The sequence below is a fragment of the Homo sapiens genome, chromosome 10 (assembly GCF_000001405.40).
Source record: "Homo sapiens chromosome 10, GRCh38.p14 Primary Assembly".
Classification (NCBI taxonomy): domain Eukaryota; kingdom Metazoa; phylum Chordata; class Mammalia; order Primates; family Hominidae; genus Homo; species Homo sapiens.
This window is the reverse complement of record NC_000010.11, coordinates 7,253,115-7,276,871: the sequence shown is the minus strand read 5'-3', so window position 1 is coordinate 7,276,871 and position 23,757 is coordinate 7,253,115. Positions and strand designations below refer to the sequence as shown.

At 44.2% G+C, this 23,757-nt stretch overlaps 1 protein-coding gene across 12 annotated transcripts in view, besides 1 other annotated feature; it reads left to right on the top strand.

Moving 5' to 3' along the window:
* Positions 1-23,757, top strand: part of SFMBT2 (Scm like with four mbt domains 2) — a 252,867-nt gene that overhangs the window by 134,619 nt on the left and 94,491 nt on the right. The window contains exon 1 of one of the 12 annotated variants that reach the window (XM_047425571.1): positions 7-21,753. The exons of the other annotated variants lie outside the window; for them this stretch is intronic. The gene's annotated coding sequence lies outside the window, so the exon portion shown is untranslated. Of the gene's footprint in view, positions 1-6; positions 21,754-23,757 lie in introns of those variants that run through there. 12 annotated transcript variants of the gene reach the window in all.
* Positions 18,866-20,065: an enhancer, noted in NCBI's record as "BRD4-independent group 4 enhancer chr10:7298769-7299968 (GRCh37/hg19 assembly coordinates)". NCBI's record gives its function as "activates an origin of replication core promoter dependent on BRD2, P300/CBP, MED14 and CDK7 cofactors, and independent of BRD4, by STARR-seq in HCT116 cells {active_cell/tissue: HCT116}" and the evidence as "EXISTENCE:reporter gene assay evidence [ECO:0000049][PMID:35650434]".

Genomic DNA, 23,757 nt, shown 5'->3' with positions numbered 1-23,757 from the left:
AATGTATCTACCCTTTTTGAGAATAAAATCATCTACAAAGTTTTCCGGCCGGGCGCAGTGGCTCATGCCTGTAATCCCAGCACTTTGAGAGGCTGAGGTGGGCGGATCACGACATCAGGAGATCGAGACCATCCTGGCTAACATGGTGAAACCCTATTTCTACTAAAAATACAAAAATTAGCCAGGCGTGTGGTGTGTGCCTGTAATCCCAGCTACTTGGGAGTGTGAGGTAGGAGAATTGCTTGAACTGGGGAGGCAGAAGTTACAGTGAGCTGAGATCGCACCATTGCACTCCAGCCTGGCAACAGAGTGAGACTTAATCTCCAATAAAATAAAAAGTTTTCCATACCAAATCCTTTTCCACTTGAAAAGGCACCTTCTTAACCAGTTTCCATTTTAAATGCTTAAGGTTTTATCTGTTTCATGTTGCTTTTTAAAAAAATAATCTTCATAATGACCCATATTACAAGATGCTGATTAAAATTGTTTAGGTTTACTGACTTTCTTTGTAGCATATTGTTATGGAAATATTTTCACCCCCTCACTTCCTACTACAGAAACAAAAGGAAATATAGCAAGTCTAATTTTGACATTTAGTAAAAATGACAGAAAATGACTCATCTCGTGGTGGTTCAGTTTTCTTGATGTCCCGAGGTTCTGCTAAGTACCAGGCCTTCCACCAGGTGCTCCCGTGAAAATGAAGGGCTTGTGAAATGCATCTCCACCAAAACGGCTACCAAGTTCTTTACACTTCAAAAATTATGCTTCACACTTACGTGAAATAGAATATTAGGTTCTGGACAAAGATGGTCCATTCAGGTTCATCCAAGGAAATCATAAAACAGGCCCATGGAGTGTGGGCGGCGACCCAACACCATTGGCGTCCTTGGACAGTTCTCAATGTGGTTGTGACGGGCAGACATCCAGTTGCTTCCCAGCCCTGGGGTGGCACGTGTCTGCAGAGTCGTACAAGTTTCATGTAGAAGATGTACTTAATGTGGTACAGCAGAGTTTAAGGATTTAGTAGGGGACGTGGGCTTCCTGGATTTTACTGACACCTAAGTCCTCACTCAGCCTTTTAAGCAGCTGTGGCAAATCATTGACCCTTTCATTCAGTACTTCCCCTGTTTGTAAAATTGGACTATTAAGATCTCCCCCTTAACTTAGCCATGTGATTATGTTGTGACGTTTAACTGAATGATGATTTTTACAGTGTTTGGGGGCTCCTGTACTGGAGGAACAGTGTAAATATAATACACTGTTAGCATGATATTGACCGACAGTGAAGCCGACAGTTGTGGTGGCCAATGTTGTTATTTTTTGCCTCACTGACCAAATCTTTCTCTCTTCTCCTCTTTGTCTTCCTCTTCCTCTCCTTCCCTCTTCTCTCCCTTTTATTCTTCCTTCCTTTAATACTGTCCTGCCCTTACAAAAACGATGAAGAGAAACAGCCTTTAATGTTGGACCTCTCAGCTCTGCCACCCCCACCAGAGCCAGCCTGTCCTCGTCTCCCCTGCCCCTTTCTCTTCACCGTGGCCTCAGTCATCTTTGAATGTGAATCAAATCCAATCACATCCTTCACCCTTGAAAAAATAAATTTTATTTTGACGTACCCTATACACACATGTGAGGAGTTGAAGGAGTGAGCCAATGGGAAATTACAGATGCCCACCCTCCGGTCTAAGCCTCGGAGCTGCCAGGCCAGTGAAGCCCCCGCTGCAGCCCCAGGTCTGCCTCCCTGCGGGACCAGGGCACCCGGGGCCTCACAGCTGTGCGGGTCCTGCCTGTGCCTCTCTTTGTGGCGTTCCAGCCTGTGTATGCTTCCCTAAGTGGGATGCTGAGTCCTGTTGACAGGATGGGAAGTGGGCACTGTCCTCATTGTTCAGAGAGGGCCCTTTCCCTACTCTGAAGAGGGAAGAAAGCTGGATGTGGTCTGGGCACCACACTGGCTTTGCTTTTCCTCAGAGTGGATGAGGATTCAGTAGGTGAAGTCGTGAGCTAATTTTTTTTTTTTTTGGAGAAACGGTGTCACTCTGTAACCCAGGCTGGAGTGCAGTGGGGTGATCATAGCTCGCTGTAGTGTCAAACTCCCAGGCTCAAGCCATCCTCCTGTCTCAGCCTCCCAAGTAGCTAGAACCACAGGCATGCACCAGCACACCTAGCTAATGTATTAGTTTGTTCTCATGCTGTTAGGGAAGACATACCTGAGACTGGGTGATTTATAAAGGAAAGAGGTTTAATTGACTCACAGTTCAGCAAAGCTGGGGAGGCCTCAGGAAACTTAAAATCATGGCAAAAGGGGAAGCAAAGATGTCCTTTTTCACATGGCAGCAGGAAGGAGAATAAGAGCTGGATGAAGGGGGAAGGCCCTTATCATCAGATCTCATGAGAGCTTACTCACTATCAGGAGAATAGCATGGGAGAAACCGCCTGCATGATTCAATTACGTCCCCACAACATGTGGGGATTATGGGAGCTATAATTCAAAATGAGATTTAGGTGGGGACACAGCCAAACCATATCAGCTAATTTTTAGATTTTTTGTTTCTGTACAGATGGGGTCTCACTGTGTTGCCCAGGCTGGTCTCAAATCCTGGGCTCAAGTGATCCTCCTGCCTTGGCTTCCTAAAGTGCAGGGATAACAGGTGTGAGCGACTGCACCTGGTCTGTGAGCTAATCTTAAGAAGACGAGGGGTTACCACACTTGCTTCTACTGAAGTTGCAGCATGAACTCTCAGTACTGGAGGTCACATCCCTTAGAAATGTGGGCAGGGGCTGCATAGTATTCCATGGTGTATATGTGCCACATTTTCTTAATCCAGTCTATCACTGATGAACATTTGGGTTGGTTCCAAGTCTTTGGTATTGTGAATAGTGCTGCAATAAACATCCGTGTGCATGTGTCTTCATAGCAGCATGATTTATAATCCTTTGGGTATATATCCAGTAATGGGATGGCTGGGTCGAATGGTATTTCTAGTTTTAGATCCTTGAGGACTCGCCACACTGTCTTTCACAATGGTTGAACTAGTTTACAGTCCCACCAACAGTGTAAAAGTGTTCCTATCTCTCCACATCCTCTCCAGCACATTGGGACATGGATGAAGCTGGAAACCATCATTCTGAGCAGAGTATTGCAAGGACAGAAAATCAAACACCGCATGTTCTCACTCATAGGTGGGAATTGAACAGTGAGAACACTTGGACACAGGGTTGGGAACACCACACACTGGGGTCTGTCGTGGGGTGTGGGGAGGGATAGCATTAGGAGATACACCTAATGTAATTGGTGAGTTAATGGGTGCGGTACACCAACATGGCACATGTATACATATGTAACAAACCTGCACGTTGTGCACATGTACCCTAGAACTTAAAGTATAATTTAAAAAAATACATTAAAAAAATGTGGGCGGGGGTTGGTTGGTTCTTGTTTTCTGATTTTACAACTTAGCTCTCAGGAGCAGGCTGAAGTTCACTGTTTCTTTGCAGTGGAATGAATGTTCTCATCTTGTCTAGACAGCTGGACCAGGAGTAGGACCCAACTTAGGAATCTTTTTAGTGTAGTCAAAATAAGCTGAATATTGTTAACAATCTTGGTCTGGCTGACTTTGGCATTGTGTCCGTAGGTTGCAAAGATGATAAAATGCTGTCTACATTTCCTTCTCACTAAAAGTGGCTAAAAATGTCTGTCTTATCCATATACTTTATTGATAGTTTGTGTGGGTGTAGAATTTTAGGTGAGCTATCATTTGTCTCAAGAATCAGAGGTTTTGGCTGGGGCGTTGGTGGCTCACGCCTGTAAGCGCAGCACTTTGGGAGGCCGAGACGGGCAGATCATTTGAGGTCAGGAGTTCTAGACCAGCCTGGCCAATATGATAAAACCCTGTCTCTACTAAAAATACAAAAAAATTAGCCGGGCATGGTGGCATGCATCTGTAATCCCAGCTACTCAGGAGGCTGAGGCAGGAGGATTCCTTGAACCCGGGAGGCAGAGGTTGCAGTGAGCTGAGATTGCACCACTGCACTCCAGTCTGGGCGGCAGAGCAAGACTCTGTCTCAAAAAAATGAAAGAGGGTAGGGGGGATTAGAATGTGGTGGTCAGCCCCTGGAGTGTGGCTTGTGGGCTGCTTCTTGTCCTGTAGTATTTCCTCTTTGGCTGGTTTTCCAGGGAGAGCTTTTCAGTCTCCCAATGTCCCACCTGGGGCTCCAGGTCTGACTGCCAGCGTTCCAGGAGCCACGTGGAGAGAAGAGGGCTGGGTGCTGGCCTGCAGTGTTGGTTCCTGCCCCAGCCTGTTCAGAGAAGGCTGAGACAGGGATCAGGGAGGCTGTGGGGGGCGTCTAACTGCCTCTGCTTCCCAGTCACCTCCCCATGCTTATATCTTAAGCTCCTGTCAACCCCCCGGTTTCGGACATATCTGGTGGGACTCGTTTCAGAGCCTTTCAAGGCTTCTGTAGGAGCCACTGTGTTGGTGCTCAGCTTTTCTGCTGAAGGCCTGGGATTTGGCTTTGCTGAATGTGTGAAATTACTCACTTCTTCTTCATCAGCTTTTTTGCCTCCTTACCTTTGTGTGCTGAGTGGGTGTGTCTTTTTTAAAAAAAGTCTCTGGACTGTAGTTTTGGTTAGAGTTTAGGAGGAGGTGAAATGAATGTGGGTTTTCAGCCTGCTGTTTTAACCTGGCACTGCTGTTGAAAAGAATCTTGTTGTTTGGACTCTAGGGTACGATCAAGCTGCCACATCCTTCCTGGACATGCTGAGCCTGGGGAGATTTTTCACTCGCTCCCCTGTGCAGTGTCTCCTTCCGTGCCCCTCCTTGCTGTACCAGGAGGTGCACTTGTTATGTTTCTGTAACGCCCTTTGTACCTTGATATGGTTTGGCTCTGTGTCCCCACCCAAATCTCATCTTGTAGCTCCCAGAATTCCCACATGTTGTGGGAGGGACCCGGTGGGAAATAACTGAATCATGGGGGTGGGTCTTTCCCATGCTGTTCTCGTGATAGTGAATAAGTCTCACGAGATCTGATGGTTTTAAAAATGGGAGTTTCCCTGCAGAAGCTCTCTTCTCTTGTCTGCTGCCATGTGAGACGTGCCTTTCATTTTCCACTATGATTGTGAGACCTCCCCAGCCATGTGGAGCTATAAGTCTAATAAGCCTCTTTCTTTAGTAAATTGCCCAGTCTCGGGTACATCTTTATCAGTGAAAATGGACTAATGCATACCTATTTTGTTCTGTTAAAGTCCTACTCATCTTTCATTTTCAAATATAGATTCCCCAAAGGAATCCTTCCCTGGACCCCTGACCCTGGCCCAGATGAACTTGAGCCTCTGTTGGTGTCCTTCAGCAGCTTGTTCTGTCACAGTTATGCTTAATCATTTGTGCAGCTCCTTGTATAATACCGGCCTCTTTTTGCCTAACTTTGAAGCTCCAGGAAGGCAAGGACTGTGTCTTTCCTGTCCATTCTTAGAAACATACTTTCTTGACCATAGTAGCACTCATTAAATACCTGTCCAATAAATGCGTGAATTCATGGACATATGTCTTCAACTCCTTGAATTTAATTTTTTTTTTTTTTTTTTTTGGAGGCAATCTTGCCCTGTCACCCAGGCTGGAGTGCAGTGGCATGATCTCAGCTTGGCCCCCTGCAACCTCTGCCTCCTGGGTTCAAGAGATTCTCCTGCCTCAGCCTCTCAAGTAGCTGGGATTACAGGCATGCACCACCAGGCCCAGCTAATGTTTTTTGTATTTTTAGTAGAGCTGGGGTTTCACCATGTTCGCCAGGCTGGTCTTGAACTCCTGAACTCAAGCAATCCACCCACCTCGGCCTCCCAAAGTGCTGGATTTATAGGCGTGAGCCACCATGCCTGGCCTGAATTTAAAATTTTTGAGTTCATATATAGATTAAATGGACATGCACACTTTTTTAGAGGTATGAATACTAAGACTCAAAAGGTATACACATTAATCATTCTAATATATTTGTAATTAAAAATTAACTAATTCATTAAACATTTATTGTCTTTGCACAAAGCTATTATGTGCTGTTGACCTGATTCCAGAGTTTAATAGTTTGTTCATATTTTCCAAAATACAATTACCTTACCTTCTTCCCTCACTTTAATTTCTTCCCATAAGAATTCAGACTATTATTTTGGTAGGGTATGTGAGCATTATCATCTTATTCAGTATTTTGTGCATAATTAAGGAGTGCTTTAAGAGCAGATACTGAATATTACTTTTGGGCCTCTCATGAGGCAGGGTGTGGGGTTAGGCACTTTATAAATAGACATTAGTTGCATTGAATATTATGTGTTCTTAAAGCTGGTGAGATACTTTCATTAATGTTTTCTCTTATTTCAGTTCAATGGAAGAGACACAGGAGGTTTCTTAACTATATTTTGTAATGAGTGAGAATCTACACGTTTAATTTGGAGGGTGTGAGAACATCATTTTCTTAGTTTGCAAAGGCTACTGTCACAAATTCCCATGGACTGGATGACTTAGAATGACAGAAATTTGTTCTCTCATGCTTCTGGAGACTAGTGTGTGAAATCAGGGTGTCGGCAGGACCACACTCCCCTGAAGGCTCTGGGTGGAAGCAGAGGGCGGCCCTGGCTTCTGGGGTCGCCTGTGTCCTGGGCTTTGCTTGGTCTGTGGCCACCTCCCTCGGTTCCCTGCCTCCAGGTTCACATGGCCTTCTCCACATCTGTTCAAATTTCTCTCTGCTTACAAGACAACCGTCATTTGACTGGCCCTGTGTGAATCCCATCCAACTTTGTCTTAACTCAATTGCAGTTACAAAGACCCTATTTTCAAATAAGGTTGCATGATAGCTTCTGGGTGAGTATGAATTTGCAGGGAGACACTCTTCAACCCAATCTGATCGCATTTCATGTATGTACAGAAATCTTAGAAATAACACAGTGGCACTCTCTACTGACTTCCTCTGCTTACACGAAGGTAATGTTCAGAGAAATGGTATGGATGCATGGGATGAGGATCCAACTGTCTTAGCAGTTGCTTCATTTATTTAAAAAAAAAAAAAGAGAAATCTTCTCTCAAGTTTTTAGAAGTTCTAGCAAGCAGTATTCTTTGTGCAGGATCCAAAAAGAGACACACACACACACACACACACACACACACACACACACACACACGCACACACTTACTTGCTTTTTTTCTCTGTTATCACTGTTGATCATCACTGTTTCTCAGCAGGCAGACTTTTTTCTAGTTTCTTTCATTACGGTAAAAGGAATATGTGTTTGAATTCAGCAGTGAGTCATCTGAGATGCGTGTTGTTATGGAAAATTGCCATAGCGTTCAGCTGTTACGAGACAGAAGTCAAAGCTAAGCACATTTAATGGCCGGAGATGAGCGGTATTTCCAAGAAGTTCTTTTTATTATTTTTACACTTTAGATGAAATGGGTATTTGGATGGGATGAGTCCCATTATGCTGCGGTTGCTCACGTTGGGGGGATGTGTTCACACGTCTGTGTGGTTGTCGGTGTCTGTGCATGCAATGTGATTGAGCTCCTGGGTAGGTGTTCCTTTCTGTCTTGAATACAAACTGGAACAGTATGAGAACAAGCTCATGATTATTATTTCTACTGTTATTTATCTTTGATTTAAGAGATCACTGTGAATAGCTTTGGATGCCATACTTTACTGGGAATTCTGACTTACCTTATTTGGCAAATACAGATCATTTCCAAAATGTACATTCAGTTGAAGGATAAATAGTTGATGAAATAGGTTTAAAAAAACTCAAAGGACATTAAAAGCCTCATTTTATTGAAAAATAAATAATGACTTTTTTTTTCTTGAAGACGAACCCTGTTATTTAGAGGCCTAAAAGATTTGCCAAAACTATCCATATACTATCCATGTCTATAACAAGTCTGTAGAGGTGACTGCACTGTATATCACCGTGGCTCTCAGTGGATTTTAATTTAGAGCAGATGTCTCTGCATCACACAGCTGGGTGAGTCTCAGCTTTTGGAACACAAAGAAATCTTCCTTTTAAAAATCAACTTAAGATATGTTTAGAAAGTAGATAAAGGCCAGGTGCGGTGGCTTATGCCTGTAATCGCAGCACTTTGGGAGGCCGAGGTGGGTGAATCACCTGAGGTCAGGAGTTTGAGACCAGCCTGGCCAACATGGCGAAACCCTTTCTCTATTAAAAATACAAAAATTAGCTGGGCGTGGTGGTGGGCACCTGTGATCCCAGCTACTCGGGAGGCTGAGGCAGAAGAATCACTTGAACCCAAGAGGTGGAGATTGCAGTGAGCCGAGATCGTGCCACTGCACTCCAGCCTGGGCGACAGAGCGAGACTCTGTCTCAAAAAAAAAAAAATTAGATAAAACCTTTCTTTGACATAGTCACTTTGACCAATTTTGCAGCCTCTGGAAACCATCATTTGATTAACTTATGACATATCCCAATGTCCACTCAAGCAAAACGCCCCAGTTTCCATAAAAGCTTTTTATTTTTGTCTTTTGCGAAGGACTACTAGGAAGGGTTTCTGTCAGTTTGTTTCTGTCATCAAACAATGAAGTTTATTACAGGACAGACTCAGTCTTTTGGTCAATAATGTCTTTGTTGCCTCAGTTTTCCAGTTCACTGAGTGTATACTAAGAGACCACTAAAGGATTTTTTGGGGCTTGGTAAGTTTTAAAACTAGGGCTAGAGGAGACTAGAAAATAAAAGCCTATCAGTAATTGTAACATGTCACGTGTCTGACATTTACGAGCCTCCATATTACTTTTTCGTTCCCAGCAATTCTTATAAATCGTATTCCATATCTGAGATCCTACGTGTTTGCAAATATTAAATTGTACAAGTTTCACTGACAACTCATTTGTCCACCAAAAAGATCTATAAATAAGAAACAGCAATTCCCAATTTTCTAGTTAATGGAAATAAAATATTGTTTCCTTAGAGGAATACAGAAATATAGCTGGGAGAAGACAGAAGCTCTCTAGCTTACTTTGTTCATGACCACACCTTGTCACAGCAAGGAAGGGACATACCTGAAATGTCACTAACATCTATGATCCTTTTTTTATCCTTTAAAGAAGGGAAATTGTTGGAACTTTTTTGTGTTCTTTAAAAAAATATTGAAAATCTCAGTGTGTTTGAAATTCTAAATGAGCTACTCAGAGATTTGCCTTAGAGTGCAGGGAATTATGCATAAGACAACTGCACTTCTTTGGGAGGCTGAGGCTGGCAGATCTACTTGAGGTCAGGAGTTCTAGACCAGCCTGGCCAACATGGTGAAACCACATCTCTACTAAAAATGCAAAAATTAGCCAGAAGTCACTTGAACCCGAGAGGCGGAGGTTGCAGTGAGCTGAGATCTTGCTACTGCACTTCAGCCTGGGCAACAGAGTGAGACTCCATCTCAAACAAACAAACAGAAAGACAACTGCACTTGAGTCCAAAGCCTTGGCATCCTCCTTGTAGCCTCTCTCCGCTTCACACCTCTGTGTTGGGGATCCCCACATCTGCCCCAGGTTTGGTAATTTACTGAAAGGACTCACAGGATTCAGAAGTCATTACACTCATGGTTATAGGTTATTACAGTGAAAGGATAGAAAGCAGAATCAGCAATGGGGTGAAGTCCAGAAAACCAGACAGAAGCTTCCAGAGCCCCCTCCTGGAGGCGTCACACAGCACCCAGCTGTGACAAGAGGTGCCAGGTACTCTTCTACCAGGGCAGTTCCTTAGACACTCAGTGCTCAGGGTTTTTACTGGGGACTGGTCACATAGGAACCCTCTGCCTGGCACAGACCAGAATTCCCAACTCTTAGAAGGAAACCATAAACCAGATTGTTTGTACACACAGTTTAGACACAGCAAACCACTCTTATATTTAGGAAAAGTTTTAGATTGGTATAAGCTATTTTTTATCAGCCACATTTCCAGATTGCAGCCACAGACCCCCCCTTGCAGGCGAGCCCCCTCTGTGAGGACCACAGCCTAGGCCTCCCAGGTGAACCCTTCTCTGCACACTTCCATTCCACCCATCAGGAAATTTTGTTGGCTCTCCCTTCAAACTCTGTCCTGAACTCACTCTTCTGTGTAGCCTTTGCCACTGCCCAAGTCCAGGCCACCATCTCTGTCCCATGGACTGTCCCATCACGCCAGAGCTTGTTTCCTGGCTTCTAGTCATTGCGTCCCCCGACTGCAGCCAGAGGGCTTCTGTTGAAACTGAAGTCAGATGGAGCCCCACTTTTGCTCCTGCCTCCCTGTGGCATGTCATCTCATCAGGGCGGGATGCCTGGGTCCAGTCGCCTGATGCTGGAGGCTTCACGTACCTGCCGTGCCCCCTCCAGCTCCCCACTATCCCACTGACACCTGCTTACTCCTGCCTAAGGCCTTTGTATAATGCCTGGTCTGCCTGGAAGGTCACCCCCAGATTCCTGCATGGCCCCTTCCCTCACTTCCTACGGGTGTCTGCTTAAAATTAGAAAACCCTGGACTGGGCGTGGTGGCTCATGCCTGTAATCCCAGCAGTTTGGGAGGCCGAGGTGGGTGGATCACCTGAGGTCAGGAGTTCGAGACCAGCCTGGCCAACATGGTGAAACCCCATCTCTACTAAAAATACAAAAATTATCTGGGCATGGTGGTGCTTGCCTATAATCCCAGCTACTAGGGTGGCTGAGGCAGGAGAATCGCTTGAACCCGGGAGGCGGAGGTTGCAGTGAGCTGAGATCATGCTATTGCACTCCAGCCTGGGTGACAGAGCAAGACTCTGTCTCAAAGAAAAAAAAAAAGGAAAGAAAACCGCACTCTGTTCCACTATCTCCCCTTCTGCGCACTCTCCCTGCTATCCTGGTTCAGCACTGATCTCAGCACTGATTCCCCCGACTATTATATAGCACTTTGCCTTTTATTTTTTAAATTTAATTTAAATAGTTTTTTGCATTTGGCCTCCTTCCCCTAGCTAGAATGCAGGCTCTGCGAGAGCCAAGTTTGTATTTCCATGACTGCTTTATCCTCAGTGCCTTCCGCAGTACCCAGGACATCATCAGTTCTCAGTAAATGTTCTTGAATGGGGATTCATGGGGATATAAGTCCAAAAATTAACTTAGAAGGATCAAAACATAGGAGAGGTCATCACTATAACTTAAATTAAGCAAGCCTCCTGTGAGTAGTTCTGAATAATAGAGATGACTAGCCTAAGAGGGGAATGGCTCCATTTATGGGATGGTGAGTTTACAACTAAGGATGGCACTTTTGTAATCAACTAAAAATACCCCAGCTCAGTTCTTTGCTAAGAAGAGGAAAGAGTTGAGAGCACTGAGAAGAGTATTTGGCCTCCCAATTAATTTCAATTCCTCATTGAAATTAAGAAGACATCTCAGGGGCCAGGCGCGGTGGCTCATGCCTGTAACCTCAGCACTTTGAGAGGCCAGGCGGGAGGATTGCATGAACTCAGGATTTCTAGACCAGCCTGGGCAACATGGTGAAACCCCATCTCTACACAATATACAAAAATTAGTCGGGCGTGGTGGCATGCGCATGTTATCCCAGCTACATGGGAGGCTGAAGCAGGAGAATCACTTGAACCCGGGAGGCGGAGGTTGCAGTGAGCTGAGATTGTGCCACTGCACTCCAGTCTGGGAGACAGAGCGAGACTTCATCTCAGAGAAGGAAGGAAGGGAGGGAGGAAGAGAGGGAGGCAGGGGAGGGAGGGAAGGAGGGAGGGAGGGAAGGAGGGAGGGAGGGAGATCTCAGCATTAAAAAAGAAATCAAAACATAAAATTAAAATCTCAGCATTAAAAAAACAAAACAAAAACAAATCATGTTCCACGAAATCCTGTTGCTCACAAACCTGAAATGTCAAGGTTTGCTGCTTGTTGAAAGTGATCACGGACTAGGCTTAATGTCTACACATGTTTTATGTAAGTTTTTTTTTTTTTTTTTTTCCTCTTTTTTAAAATGTCCGTCTTTTCAGATTGTTTGATCCAGGCACTAACCTGCTACTGTATACTGTTTTCTAACTAAACAAATAGAGAATAAAGATATAAGGAACTTGAGGAATAAGCCCAAGAGAGCACTGTGGTCTGGGGATACGGTTGGCATCCAGGGTTTCTGCTTTTTTATAGGCAGCTAATTCTTTTCTGCTGAATTGATCGCTGTTTCATGTCATGCTTCTCAGGAGTGTATGTAGCTGACGGGTGAGGTGCGGCTGGGCAGTGACTCCCTAGTGCTTCCTGCTTATTTCCGTTTTATTTGAAGCCAAGGAGGAGTTTGTTTTTGATGTGAGTCATATGCCCAGGACACTAATTCCAATCCATTCTCTTATCACCTCCCTGACCAGTTCCTAATCAGAATCTGTACCTCATGGAGGTTACAGGGATCCAAGGTCATGATAACTGAGGCTTGTACTGCATCTGGACTCAGAACAGAGCAAATGTGTGCCTGGTCTAAGTACTTCCGTAAAATACCCAGTGTCTTGGTGTCCTTCTGCAGCACAGTCTCTGTCGTCTTTGACATAAGTATCGAGATTATACACACATCACTGATAAGGGATAAAAGGCACCCTGGAAATCCGTAAATAAAGGACTAGCAGTCACGGCAGTGCACTGCATTGAGTCTGGTTTGGTTGGGTCTGAAACTGTACCTGAAATGGTTTCTTTAAGTATCTTGCTTTCTCTATTTCTCGATGTTTAATAAAGGAAGGGACACGGACATGTAGAGAAGGCTAAAATAAGAAATGCTGTGTGAGGCCATTTTTCCCCACACAAACCAAGAAAGAAATAAAGACCTTCCCTGCATGGACACCCTCTCTACTAAGAGTGTTCATGCTGCTCATAGCACTGAAGATTCCACATCCAGTGCTTTTTTTCAGTGTTTTCTTAGCTTTCAATGATGTACCTGTCAGTGTGATTATAGATTTAACCCTTAGGAGGGAATCTCTCCTACATTTTAGCATCGGAGACCTAGATTAAAGGCTGAGGAGAGAAGATTAAATGTGGCCAAGAGAGAGAAGCTTTTCTTTCTCATTCCGTCTGGTACAGCCAAAGGGGTAAGGAAGACGCGGGCTTCTCTTACGATAGATTGTGAGGCTGCAGTTTCTATGGTGACTGGTTTCTTTTTCCCTTATTCAGCAGCTAAATGCAGCAACATTCAAACACTTGTAGCTGAGTTTGGCCTTCAGGTGGGACACTTACATTCTCCAGGCATTTGCCTTAAGCCCATATATAGAGACAGAGCTTAATTTTTTCCCCAAGTCATTTAGCAGTTAATGTTTGTGGGATACATGATGGATATCTCCTTCTCATCATGTTATCCCCAAATGGCTTTGAAATAGAGGCTGTTGGCCGGGCACGGTGGCTCACACCTGTAATCCCAGCACTTTGGGAAACCAAGGCGGGTGGATCACCTGAGGTCAGGAGTTCGAGACCAGCCTGGCTAACATGGTGAAACCCTGTCTCTACTAAAAATACAAAAATTTCCTGGGCATTAGTGGCACGTGCCTGTAGTCCACCTACTCGGGAGGTTGAGGCAGGAGAATCACTTGAACCCGGGAGGTGGAGTTTGAAGTAAGCTGAGATCGCGCCATTGTACTCCAGCCTGGGCGACGAGGGAGAAACTCTGTCTCAAAAAAGAAAAGAAAAGAAAAGAAAAGAAATAGAGGCTGTTTTGATGGTAGGTGATTTTGTTAGCAGACTGGTGCATGTCCCTCTGTGATCTCGGTGCCATTGATTGAACTTGGGAGGTTTCTACCCCATGGCTGGAGCCGGGTCTGTTCTCTCAGGCATCCCCAGTGTCTGGGCCTGAAAGCATGGTTCTGCAGAGTACGTGCTCCCCTACCTCCTGTTGCCATTCCCGTTTCTTTACAGACTTGAAGAGGTTTGTTAAACAGAATCTCTTTGGGTGGAAAACCCCAGAGAAGTCCAGTTCGTTGAATACCCGTCCCTGGCAACATACAGAACTGCGAGGTGGGGTTCATCTGTGGGATCCTTTGCCTGTTCTGGGTACTTGAACTGAAGCACATGAATTCCATGGCAAAAAAGGACCAGCGGGGCCATCTAGTTTTTATGAGTATTGGAGAAAATCTTATAAGAGACACACTAAAGAGGGCAACATTGGTCAAACAATAAATGTAACTATAAAAATCGCAAAATCCAGATCTATACAGAGTTCGCCATCGCAGCTGCTTGATCACTGGGGCCTGAGCTCCGCTGTCTGCAGTCCGTTAGATAGCAACTTGCTTTTAATCCTAAACGTTAAGAATTTAAGAATTTAGTCAACTTTCAGTTATCTGCTCCGGGAGTTCTCACTCCCAAATGGCTTCTGCTTACCGCGGATAATTCTGGCTCTTGCCAGTTCCCGGGGAACTTGCAGGGAGGGTGAGATCATATTAGCATGAACTTAGCGTAATTGGTGTATGGGATTTGGAGGTGTGCAAAGGGGATACATCTCTTGTTTATAAAACTAGACACATTTCAAAGTGATCATTGTGCCTGATTTTTTATTTTTTGGGCCATTTTCTATTCCATTCTCTATTAATAAAAATAATTAAGAAAAGATTATAATTCTTTTATCTACAGAAGATCTTATTGTGGATTTAAGCCACGGTAAAATTGTTTGGAGGTGGCTCCCCCATCCCCCCTCCAAAAAACATTAAAAAACCACCAATCCTTTTGCAAGTTAGGCCACCCGTTTAAGCCCCGTAGTGCCTTTCATGAACAGACACTTGCTCCAGGGAGAAACCTGATGTAAAGAGAAGTTTGAGCTTCTCTCTTTTAACTTTAGGACTTCAGAGGTTTGAGAGCTAATGGAAAATGAGGACCCCATGTAATAAGGGGAGCCCAGTGGTGTGGCCATGCCACCGGGCCTTGCCCTTCAGCGCTGTCACCCCTGCCCCCAGGGAGGGCACACTGAGGAGGCTGGCCTACTTTGCTGGGTGTCAATAAAAGGTGTGGGGACTGTTCATTCCTGAGCTTTCTCTCTTCCGTCCTTCCGCCAGCCACCCTACTTTGAATCTGCCTGTCTCAATGACATAAAGTCAAGGATAAGATAAAATCTGCCTCCAGTTTTGTCGCCAGTGCCATTTATAACCAGAAAGGCCAGCACGAACATGTCAGATAAACCTTTACATGAATATATGATGTCCTGCACTTAACAACTTGATGAAAGGAAAGGCTCAGTTTAGGAGAGTGGAAACCTGCTTTAAAGCTCCTTAATATTTAACAAGATCTTGCACTTGTGGTGACCTGCAAAGTCTCTAGATCACAACAGGATTTATTCTTTTCCCTGCCGGCATCTGGATTCTCCTAAAAGTAAATCCATCCAGACATGCCTGCATACGTAACCCCCACCCGGCAAAGGGATCAGAACATTTGGTCATTTCGCCTGTGAGTCTGTACTGATTCATGCACTCCCTGATCCTCAGTCATTGCTGAGCATCCGAAGATTCTGAGAGACTGCAGGTCTATAAACAATGGGACAGGGAGCCAAGGCATGGCCAGAGTGTTACAAACCCTGGCTTTCTGTGTGATAAGCCACTCACCTTGAGGACGTTTTTGGAATATGCATTAACCTTTCAGACCTTTCGGGATAGCATAAAAAGGTACGAAGGAAAAACATAATTGAAGCCATAGATGAATCATAGGAACTCAAAAACCATTCTTCATTGGAAAGTGTTGCAGTGAATTGGTGAGCGTTTCTAGTGATTCGCACCCACGGGCTGCAGACCTTGTGCTGGGTACTGTGCATATACTATCTCACATCCCCACAGTAACCTGACTCGAGAGGCACAGGAGTCTTACTGGTTAAGTTCAGGAATTGCCAGGCTCAGAGAAGTTAATTTCTAGTCATACCTCATACAGAGAGACCATGGGTGAGCCAGGATGCACAGACGTACCTCAAACCCAAGGCCACACTTTTTTTTTTTTAATGTTTCTTTGTTAAACTGGGGTATTTAAAGACTGCGCAAACTCAGTATTATTATAACAAAGAACCAGAAAATGAATTCTGAGAGTATTCAGTGTTGCCTATTCAGTATGGTATTTGAACTGGAGTATGTTGCTCAACTCCTTATTACTCAGTTGCTTTTGACGAGGGCTCTCCTGGGATTTTGGCCAGGATGATTTTTTTATTGTACTAAGTGACAACTGCCCCTGCCCCTTGCCAAATAACTGTCTGCACTGGGGAATGTGGTAGATGCCGCCTGTGTAGAATTAGAACCAGTGGTGTAAGCCGGAAGAGTGGCCCCATTTTTCTTGTCAGTGATTGGCTTAGGGAGAGATTTGTGACCAATTTGGGTCAGTAATAAATGAGGACATCTGCTGGTAGTTTCTGGAATAGGTTTCCTTGCTTTGAAGAAGCAGCATAGGGAAGAGGGGGCCTTGCTCTGCCTGAGAGGCCTGGAGTTTCTGCAGCCATCTTGAGCCCACAAGGGAGGAGCTGGACTGGGGAAAGCTGTCATATTTAGGGTGTGGAAGGAGGAGGATGAAAAGAACCGAGGCCATTTCTGACATTGCTCATGGCTCTGTTCACCAGGCTTTTCTATTCACTTGCCTTTTCTCTGGACCCCTTTGCTGTGTGAGATAATGGATTTCCTTATGGTTTATACCAGGTCGAGTAGGGTTTTCTGTCTGGTCTTTGTGTGAGAAGGCCCTTTAATAGATAAAGGCTTCCTTGGGGACCAGTACCATTTCAGGTGACTGGTCTGCTTGTCTGTAGGTTGGAAATGATTGCTTACTCCTTGCAAACAGAGAACCCATTGCTGCCATAGTGGTAGTAGGCAGTGGGTTAAGGAGTACTTGAGTTATTGTTATTGTCCTGTGCATGCAAAGCACCTCTTGTACCACCATATTGTGGTCACCATTGTTTATGGTTATTGCTGTCATTCATAACAGCATCTTTGAATCTTATACACTAGACATTCAAAGTGGAGGCAGTGGGAGGGTAACAGCAGCACCAGGTCTGCAGTGTAGACTGGCAGCACCGGGTCTGCAGTGTAGACTGGCACAAATGTAAGTGTGAATTTCCAGTTCTTGCTGAGACAGCATCAGAGTGAGTCAAAATTAACAGGGTTGGTTGGCACTGCTGATCACACCAAGGGGCTGAAGGGTGGGTACTAGAGTGAGTTAATGCTGGAGACAGAGGCAGAGAGAATCCACTGATGCTGAGGAAGCTCATCAGAAGTGTAGGGGGAGGAGACCACAAGGTCAGGTGTCTCATCAGCGATACCTGACTTCTCTCTTAACCGAATCTGAATCAGTGGTCCTCAACTCAGGGGCCAGGGGCATGTGCCCTTCAGTGGACATGTGGCAAAGCCAGGAGACATTTCAGTTGTCCCAGGTGGGGGATGCAGTCAGCATCTAGTGGATAGACCCCAGAGATGCAGTTGCAACATCCTACAGTGGCAGAACAGCCCCCCAACAAAGATTCTGGCCCCCAAAGGCCAATAGTGTTGAGGCTGACCATCCCTGTTTCTCACCTGGAAGTGGTTGATGGAGGGAGCCGAGGGCAGCTGGGGTGTGAGGAAGGCTCTGGAGACTGAAGCTGTTATTAGATCCAGTCCAGGCTGCTTGGCAGTGGGCACTTTCCAGTGGGGAGGCTTCCCACTTGTGGCAGAGCACGTAGAGGGGTTTGCAAGCTCTCTGTGTTTACTGGCCTCCACGTTGGTGTCTGGGAAGGGCAAAACAGAAGCTCAGACTGCTGGGTGGAGAAGTTTTGCGCCTTCCCAGCTCTTGCTTCTTTCTGTGAAGCATGCTGGCGTCATGTTTCCATGACAGCAGTTGAGTTAATGCATTTAGGGGCCCCCTCAGCGTCCACCACATCCTGCCTGTTGTAAATTGTGTGGTTCAGGTTGTGATCTATGATACTACGGTCCTAAATTTCTCATTACTATTTTTTAACTTGATTGAATGCACAGCTACTAGACAAAATCGCTCTTTACCTCTGTAAGTAAAAAATAGAAATGCTTATTAGTGTTCAGCAATAGATTTTAAAATTACATTTTTGTTACAAATACTTCACTGGCTAAATTGAAATCAGTGTGATCAAATTGAAATGTCATAATACTATTGATTTAATAAATGCTGGCCTCCTAATATCTGTTTTTCAATGAAACTAGTATTACGGGAGTAATTTTCTAATGAACATCTGAGCACTAGGTCATTGGTAAAACAAAAGAAGAATGATATCATAAATGGTTCTGGATGGTTTTTTCAGCGGGACCTGGCATGCTGATACGAATAGAGGAATTAAAGCGTAGCTCATTATATATTAATTTGAATGTAATACTAACTAAAACCTTCCATTGACTTCACTGAAGCCTAGTCTTAGAAATTATGCAGATTAATGGAGGCCTTGAAAAGAAGCACATGCAATATTTGAGTTCCCTTTGGACCAAAAAACTGGCATGTTGGAACTGAAAAAATTATATACTGTGCAGTATTTTTGTGTAAGTACAATACACTAAAAGATTTTGTTGCTTAAAAAAACTGGGCAGGGTGAATCCTATATCTGTTTTTTGTCTATTTTATTTTATATCCAAATAAGCCGAAAGGAAGAAGCAAAGGACCGAAGGTTGACACTGAGATTGCTGCTGCAGAGGGAGAATTTCCTGCAGCTTTTGATTGTGGAACTCAGGTTAAGAATGTGGTTCCTGGAGCCAGGCACGGTGGCTCACGCCTGTAATCCCAGCACTTTGGGATGCTGAGGCGGTTGGATTGCTTGAACCCAGGAGTTTGAGACCAGCCTGAGCAACATGGCAAAACCCCATCTCTACAAAAAATACAAAAAATTAGCCAGGTATGGTGGTGCACACCTGTCGTCCCAGCTACCCGGGAGGCTGAGGTGGAAGTATTGCTGGAGCCTGGGAGGCGGAGGTTGCAGCAAGCCTTGATTGCATCATTGCACTTCAGCCCGGGTGGCAGAGACCCTACCTCAATGAAAAAAGAATTTGGTTTCTGCATAAGGATGATTTCACTGCCTTTTTTGTTTTTACATGAAAATCCTCACCAAGTACATTTTAATTTTGTTGTATTAATTAATGAGAACTTGTTCTCCCCTGTGCCTCATCTTTCACAATTTTATATCATGTGAGATGTATTTATCTAATAAAGTGGCGATGGGAAGAGGCATTAGCTATTTTCGGAGTCTGTGATAGCCACATAGTGACATTTTAAAAGCATAAGCTTCGGTTCTTCAAGCCCCTCAAGTAAATGTGGAGATGAGTCAAGTTCAGGCAGGCCCAGCAGACATGAATGTTCTTTCTTTTCTGTCTTCTCTTTCTCCTGTCTCTCTGTTAGTAATACTCTCCATTGCTGTCTGTAGATTAATACTCACAGCCACGTGTATACTGTATTTTATAAAGAACTTTGCTGTTCACCCTGAAGCTTTGGCACCTGCCAGAGACATGAGTTGCTGCTGACTCATGATGACTATATCCAGGCAGGTGTGTTTCTCCCGCAGCGATGGTTCACTCCTCCTGAATCAGGTGCTGTCCCTTTCCAGGCACAGCAACCACTGGCAAGGCAGGGACTTCATCAGAGGCAGATGTTGAAAGTGGTGGGTGACCGTGGGTAGTGAGTGCACCCAGGGCAGGCTCTGACGTTGTGGGATCCTCCTGACCCCTGTTTTAAGTGAAAAAAGTGAGACATAAGCCAAAACTATAAAGTCAGGACACCAAGATATTGCAGTTTGTCCATACTCCTTTTTCCAGCGTGATACTCTACTTCCTGTTTCTCACTGTACAGTTTTTTCTTTTCTTTTCTTTCCCCTCCCCTCCCCTCCCCTCCCCTTCCCTTTCCAACGGAGTCTCGCTCTGTCACCCAGGCTGGAGTGCAGTGGCGTGATCTCTGCTCACTGTAACTTCTGCCTCCGGAGTTCAAGCCATTCCCCTGCCTCAGCCTCCGCAGTAGCTGGGATTACAGGCGCCCACCGCCACGCCCAGCTAATTTTTATATTTTTAGTAGAGATGGGGTTTCATAATGTAGGCCAGGCTGCTCTCAAACTCCTGACCTCAGTGATTTTCTAAGTAAATTTCCAGCTTCTCAGGGTCAGCAATCACATCAACTACTTTCCTGTGCGTCCATCATAGGATGGTGCCTGTCACATAGTGTTTAAAATACCAGTCCCAGGCTGGGGTTGGTGTGGACTTTGCAGCCAGCCACGTGTACTAGATTAACCACGTTGGTCAGAGTAACCTGTCTTGGTTAACATCGATAACATCGCATGGAAGTCGGTATCGATGGAGGATAATTGATGAAGCACTGTGGACATTTTGCTGCACATATTTCCTAAATCTTCATTGCTTACTGTATAAACACACAAAAGTAGTCATGGTATTTGTTAATTGTTGATGAAGGTTGTGACTGGCTGTAGGTAAACATTTTGGAAGTAATTTTTAGGACTGGAATGCACTCACATGCTTTTTTCTTAAGCCACTGAAAAGTGCGAGGAATTAACAGCAAAACTTGGAGGTTTTAAGTAAATGATCAGTGTTAGTAGCTATCACTTTTTAACTTAGCAATAGCTCTCTTTGAAAGAAAATTCTAGGGGGCTTTAAGTAGGTTGTAGGTTGTAGTGGTATTGTTTGCTTGTACTAATTATTGATTTTTTAAAAATCCTTTTTGGTCTTTGTTCCGTGGTCTGTTATATAACCTGGTGGCTAGAGGGTGGGCTCAGACTGAATCAGGCTGCTTGGGTTTGAAGCCTGGCTTCTCTTGGTAGCTGTGTGCCCTTGCTTAGATAACTTCATCTCTCTAAATCTTAATTTCCTCCCACAAGAGGGATTCCACCCCACAGTCTGTGTCAGCAGAAAATGACAATGCAGGGAGCATGCCTGCCAGTATTTACAACATGTTAGCTGTTTCTGTCCACTTGATATTACAGCCTGAGCATCTCTTATCCAAAATGCCTGGGACCAGACGTGTCTCTGGGTTCAGATTTTGGAATATTTGCAGTACATTTGTCTGTTGAGCATCTGAAAACCTGAAATCGAAAAGGCTCCAATGAGCATCTCATGTGAGCATCTTGTTGGCCCTCAAAAAGTTTCAGGTTTGGGGCTTGGGATTTTCAGAGTTGGGATTCCAGTTTGTATACACAGAACCTAGTTAGTCTCAGCACAGAGTTACTACATCTTAGTAGGAGAGTGAGAACTGCTCAGGCTCTGGAGGGAATAAAGCTGATGAAACCAGGGTGCAGAAAGGAAGTTGATGTAGATAGAACCACTTTTACCACGTCAGTCTGCTGAAAATAAGGTTCCCTGAAGAGACATTGCCACAGTAGCCTGTGAAGACAGTCTTCCAATAAAATGAATGGCATTTTACTTTTGATCAATATAAAACTACTTTAGGGCAAAAATAAAAATGGGTAGTGATGAATGTAGATGGGAATGACATTGCTGGCATTTATTAAAGGAGAGCAGTTTTTCTGTACGCAATTTGACCAGACTCCAGTACTCTGAAGTAAACAGTATTTCTTTAATGTGACAGGCATATTTGTAAATCTACTAAGGACTTAGTAATATATCCTGATAACGGGAATAACATCATTCTTGATCCAATAATTGCAAAGTGTGAATGATTCTCTAGAGCTTTGCAAAGGCCAAGAATGTCTCTTTCAAATGACAGTGAATTTTCCATTATCTCTTAGTACATAATCGGTTTGGCGAATTGTCTTCAGGACCCAGGAACTCTCTCTGTCCTTGACATTGAGGATGATGAGTTGGGTGTTTGTGTAAATGAATGCATGCCCTCCGACTGCATTAACAGCCCAAAGTAAGTGGTCTGGGGTGATTAGATTTGTTTTTCAATGAGAATAGCTGCATCTTTTCTCATATACTAATATGGATGGACATTTACACCACAGAACTCAGCAGTTCTGTCTGTTGGCTTATTTGGAAATTCGCTGGTGTTGAATTCTTCAATTATCATAAAAACTTGTTATTCCTTAGGAGTGTCAAGTGACTAGTTTTGCCTTTTAGATCATATTTCAGTGCTTCCATCCAGTATCCAGAGCCCAGTCTCCATGCATAAATCCACTGTGCCACCTTCCCAGAATCTTTTTTTTTAGACGGAGTCTTGCTCTGTTGCCAGGCTTGAGTGCAGTGGCTCGATCTCTGCTCACTGCAACCTCCACCTCCCGGGTTCAAGCGATTCTTCTGCCTCAGCCTCCTGAGTAGCTAGGACTACAGGTGTGCACCACCATGCCCAGCTAATTTTTGTATTTTTTTTTCTTTAGTAGAGATGGGGTTTCACCATGTTGGCCAGGATGGTCTCGATCTCTTGACCTCATGATCCGCCTGTCTCAGCCTCCCAAAGTGCTGGGATTACAGATGTGAGCCACCGCGCCTGGCCCCCAGAATCTTTTATCATCATGAGTCACATGATTTTCGTCTTCCAAATTAAGCTTCACTCCTATAAATCCTTTGACTACTGTGATCGTAGTGATACTTGGTTTTTATATGCTAGAAGTAAAAAAATTTGTTTTGAAGTTCCTTCTCAGTCTGGATCTTCCATAGCTGTTCTTGCCTCTCTTTTCCTTCTCCCTTTGACAAATGGAGGGTGTTCTGTGTATTCCATGCAATAGCTGTTAGTCTCCTGTGCGGTGCCTCAGTGGTTTCTGATCAGTGCTTATTGGATGAATGATAGAATATAGGATCGGAATGGATGTCAAGACATCATTGGGTTTTTGTCATCCCTTCAGTTTAATTCGATAAATATTTATGGAAGCCTTTCTTGGGTGAGCCACGTAGCATAAATGAGGGAGTTTGGCATTTACTGGAAAGTTCTGCACATACAGCATGGATATCTTTCATGTTTTTTAAAGTTCTCCAATGGCCAGAAGTTTCAGTGGCAAACCCCGTCAGAAAATATTGTCACGCTCTTGCAGTAAAACGTTTCTGAAATCGTCATTCATCAATAATATAAACATTAGAGTAGCAGGTTTAGCCAAACTCTTAATTGTTTTGTCTTTATTCTTGAGTCTTCTCAATTTCCGTTACGTTGACTTAGCTTTCAAACTGGTGGGATTTCTATATGGTCATAGAGGGATTTTTTTTTTTTTTTTTTGGTTGTTGATTAGAAAGTGATTTTCAGAAAGTGAAAGTTAGGGCTGGAAGATACAGCAATGCATTTTATAGTTTCCAAATTTATTTCTGAAATACGGAGTTGAAGTTCAGTAGGATAAGATATGTGGCTATTTGAGGCCAGACTACAAATACCTGTGTTTGGATGCTGCAACCTCTCAGAATGTCTGGCTTCTCTTTTCAGTATATGAAACAAGAGTGTTTAAGGGGTTTTGTGTAGTTTGGAAGGAAAAACAGATGCATTTCTGTGAGTAAGAAGTGTCTTGACTATAACTTACGAACTGTTTTTACCCACAACACTTCTAACATCACATGTGTGGGTTTTTTCCACACCAACCAGTTCTTCAACTCTCTGGACAGCAAGTGAATATCCTGCAGTTTAATTCATTTCTGACACTGTCTGAAAGCAGTGCAGACCCCACAAGTGAAGGGCTCGGTACCATAAGATGCCTCCACTTTGATGCCAGTTACAAGTCCTGGGCTTCCTGTACTTGATGGCTATAAATTAGGGTTCCTGAAACCCCCTCCTTGGATTTGATAGTTTTCCAGAAGGCCTCACAGAGCAGTTTCCTTACTATTACCTGTTTATTGTAAAGGGTACCATACAGGATGCAAATGAACAGCCAAATGGAAGAGGTGCCCGGGGTGAGGGCTGGAAGGGGGTCCCAGGCACAGGGGCTTCTGGCCCTGTGGA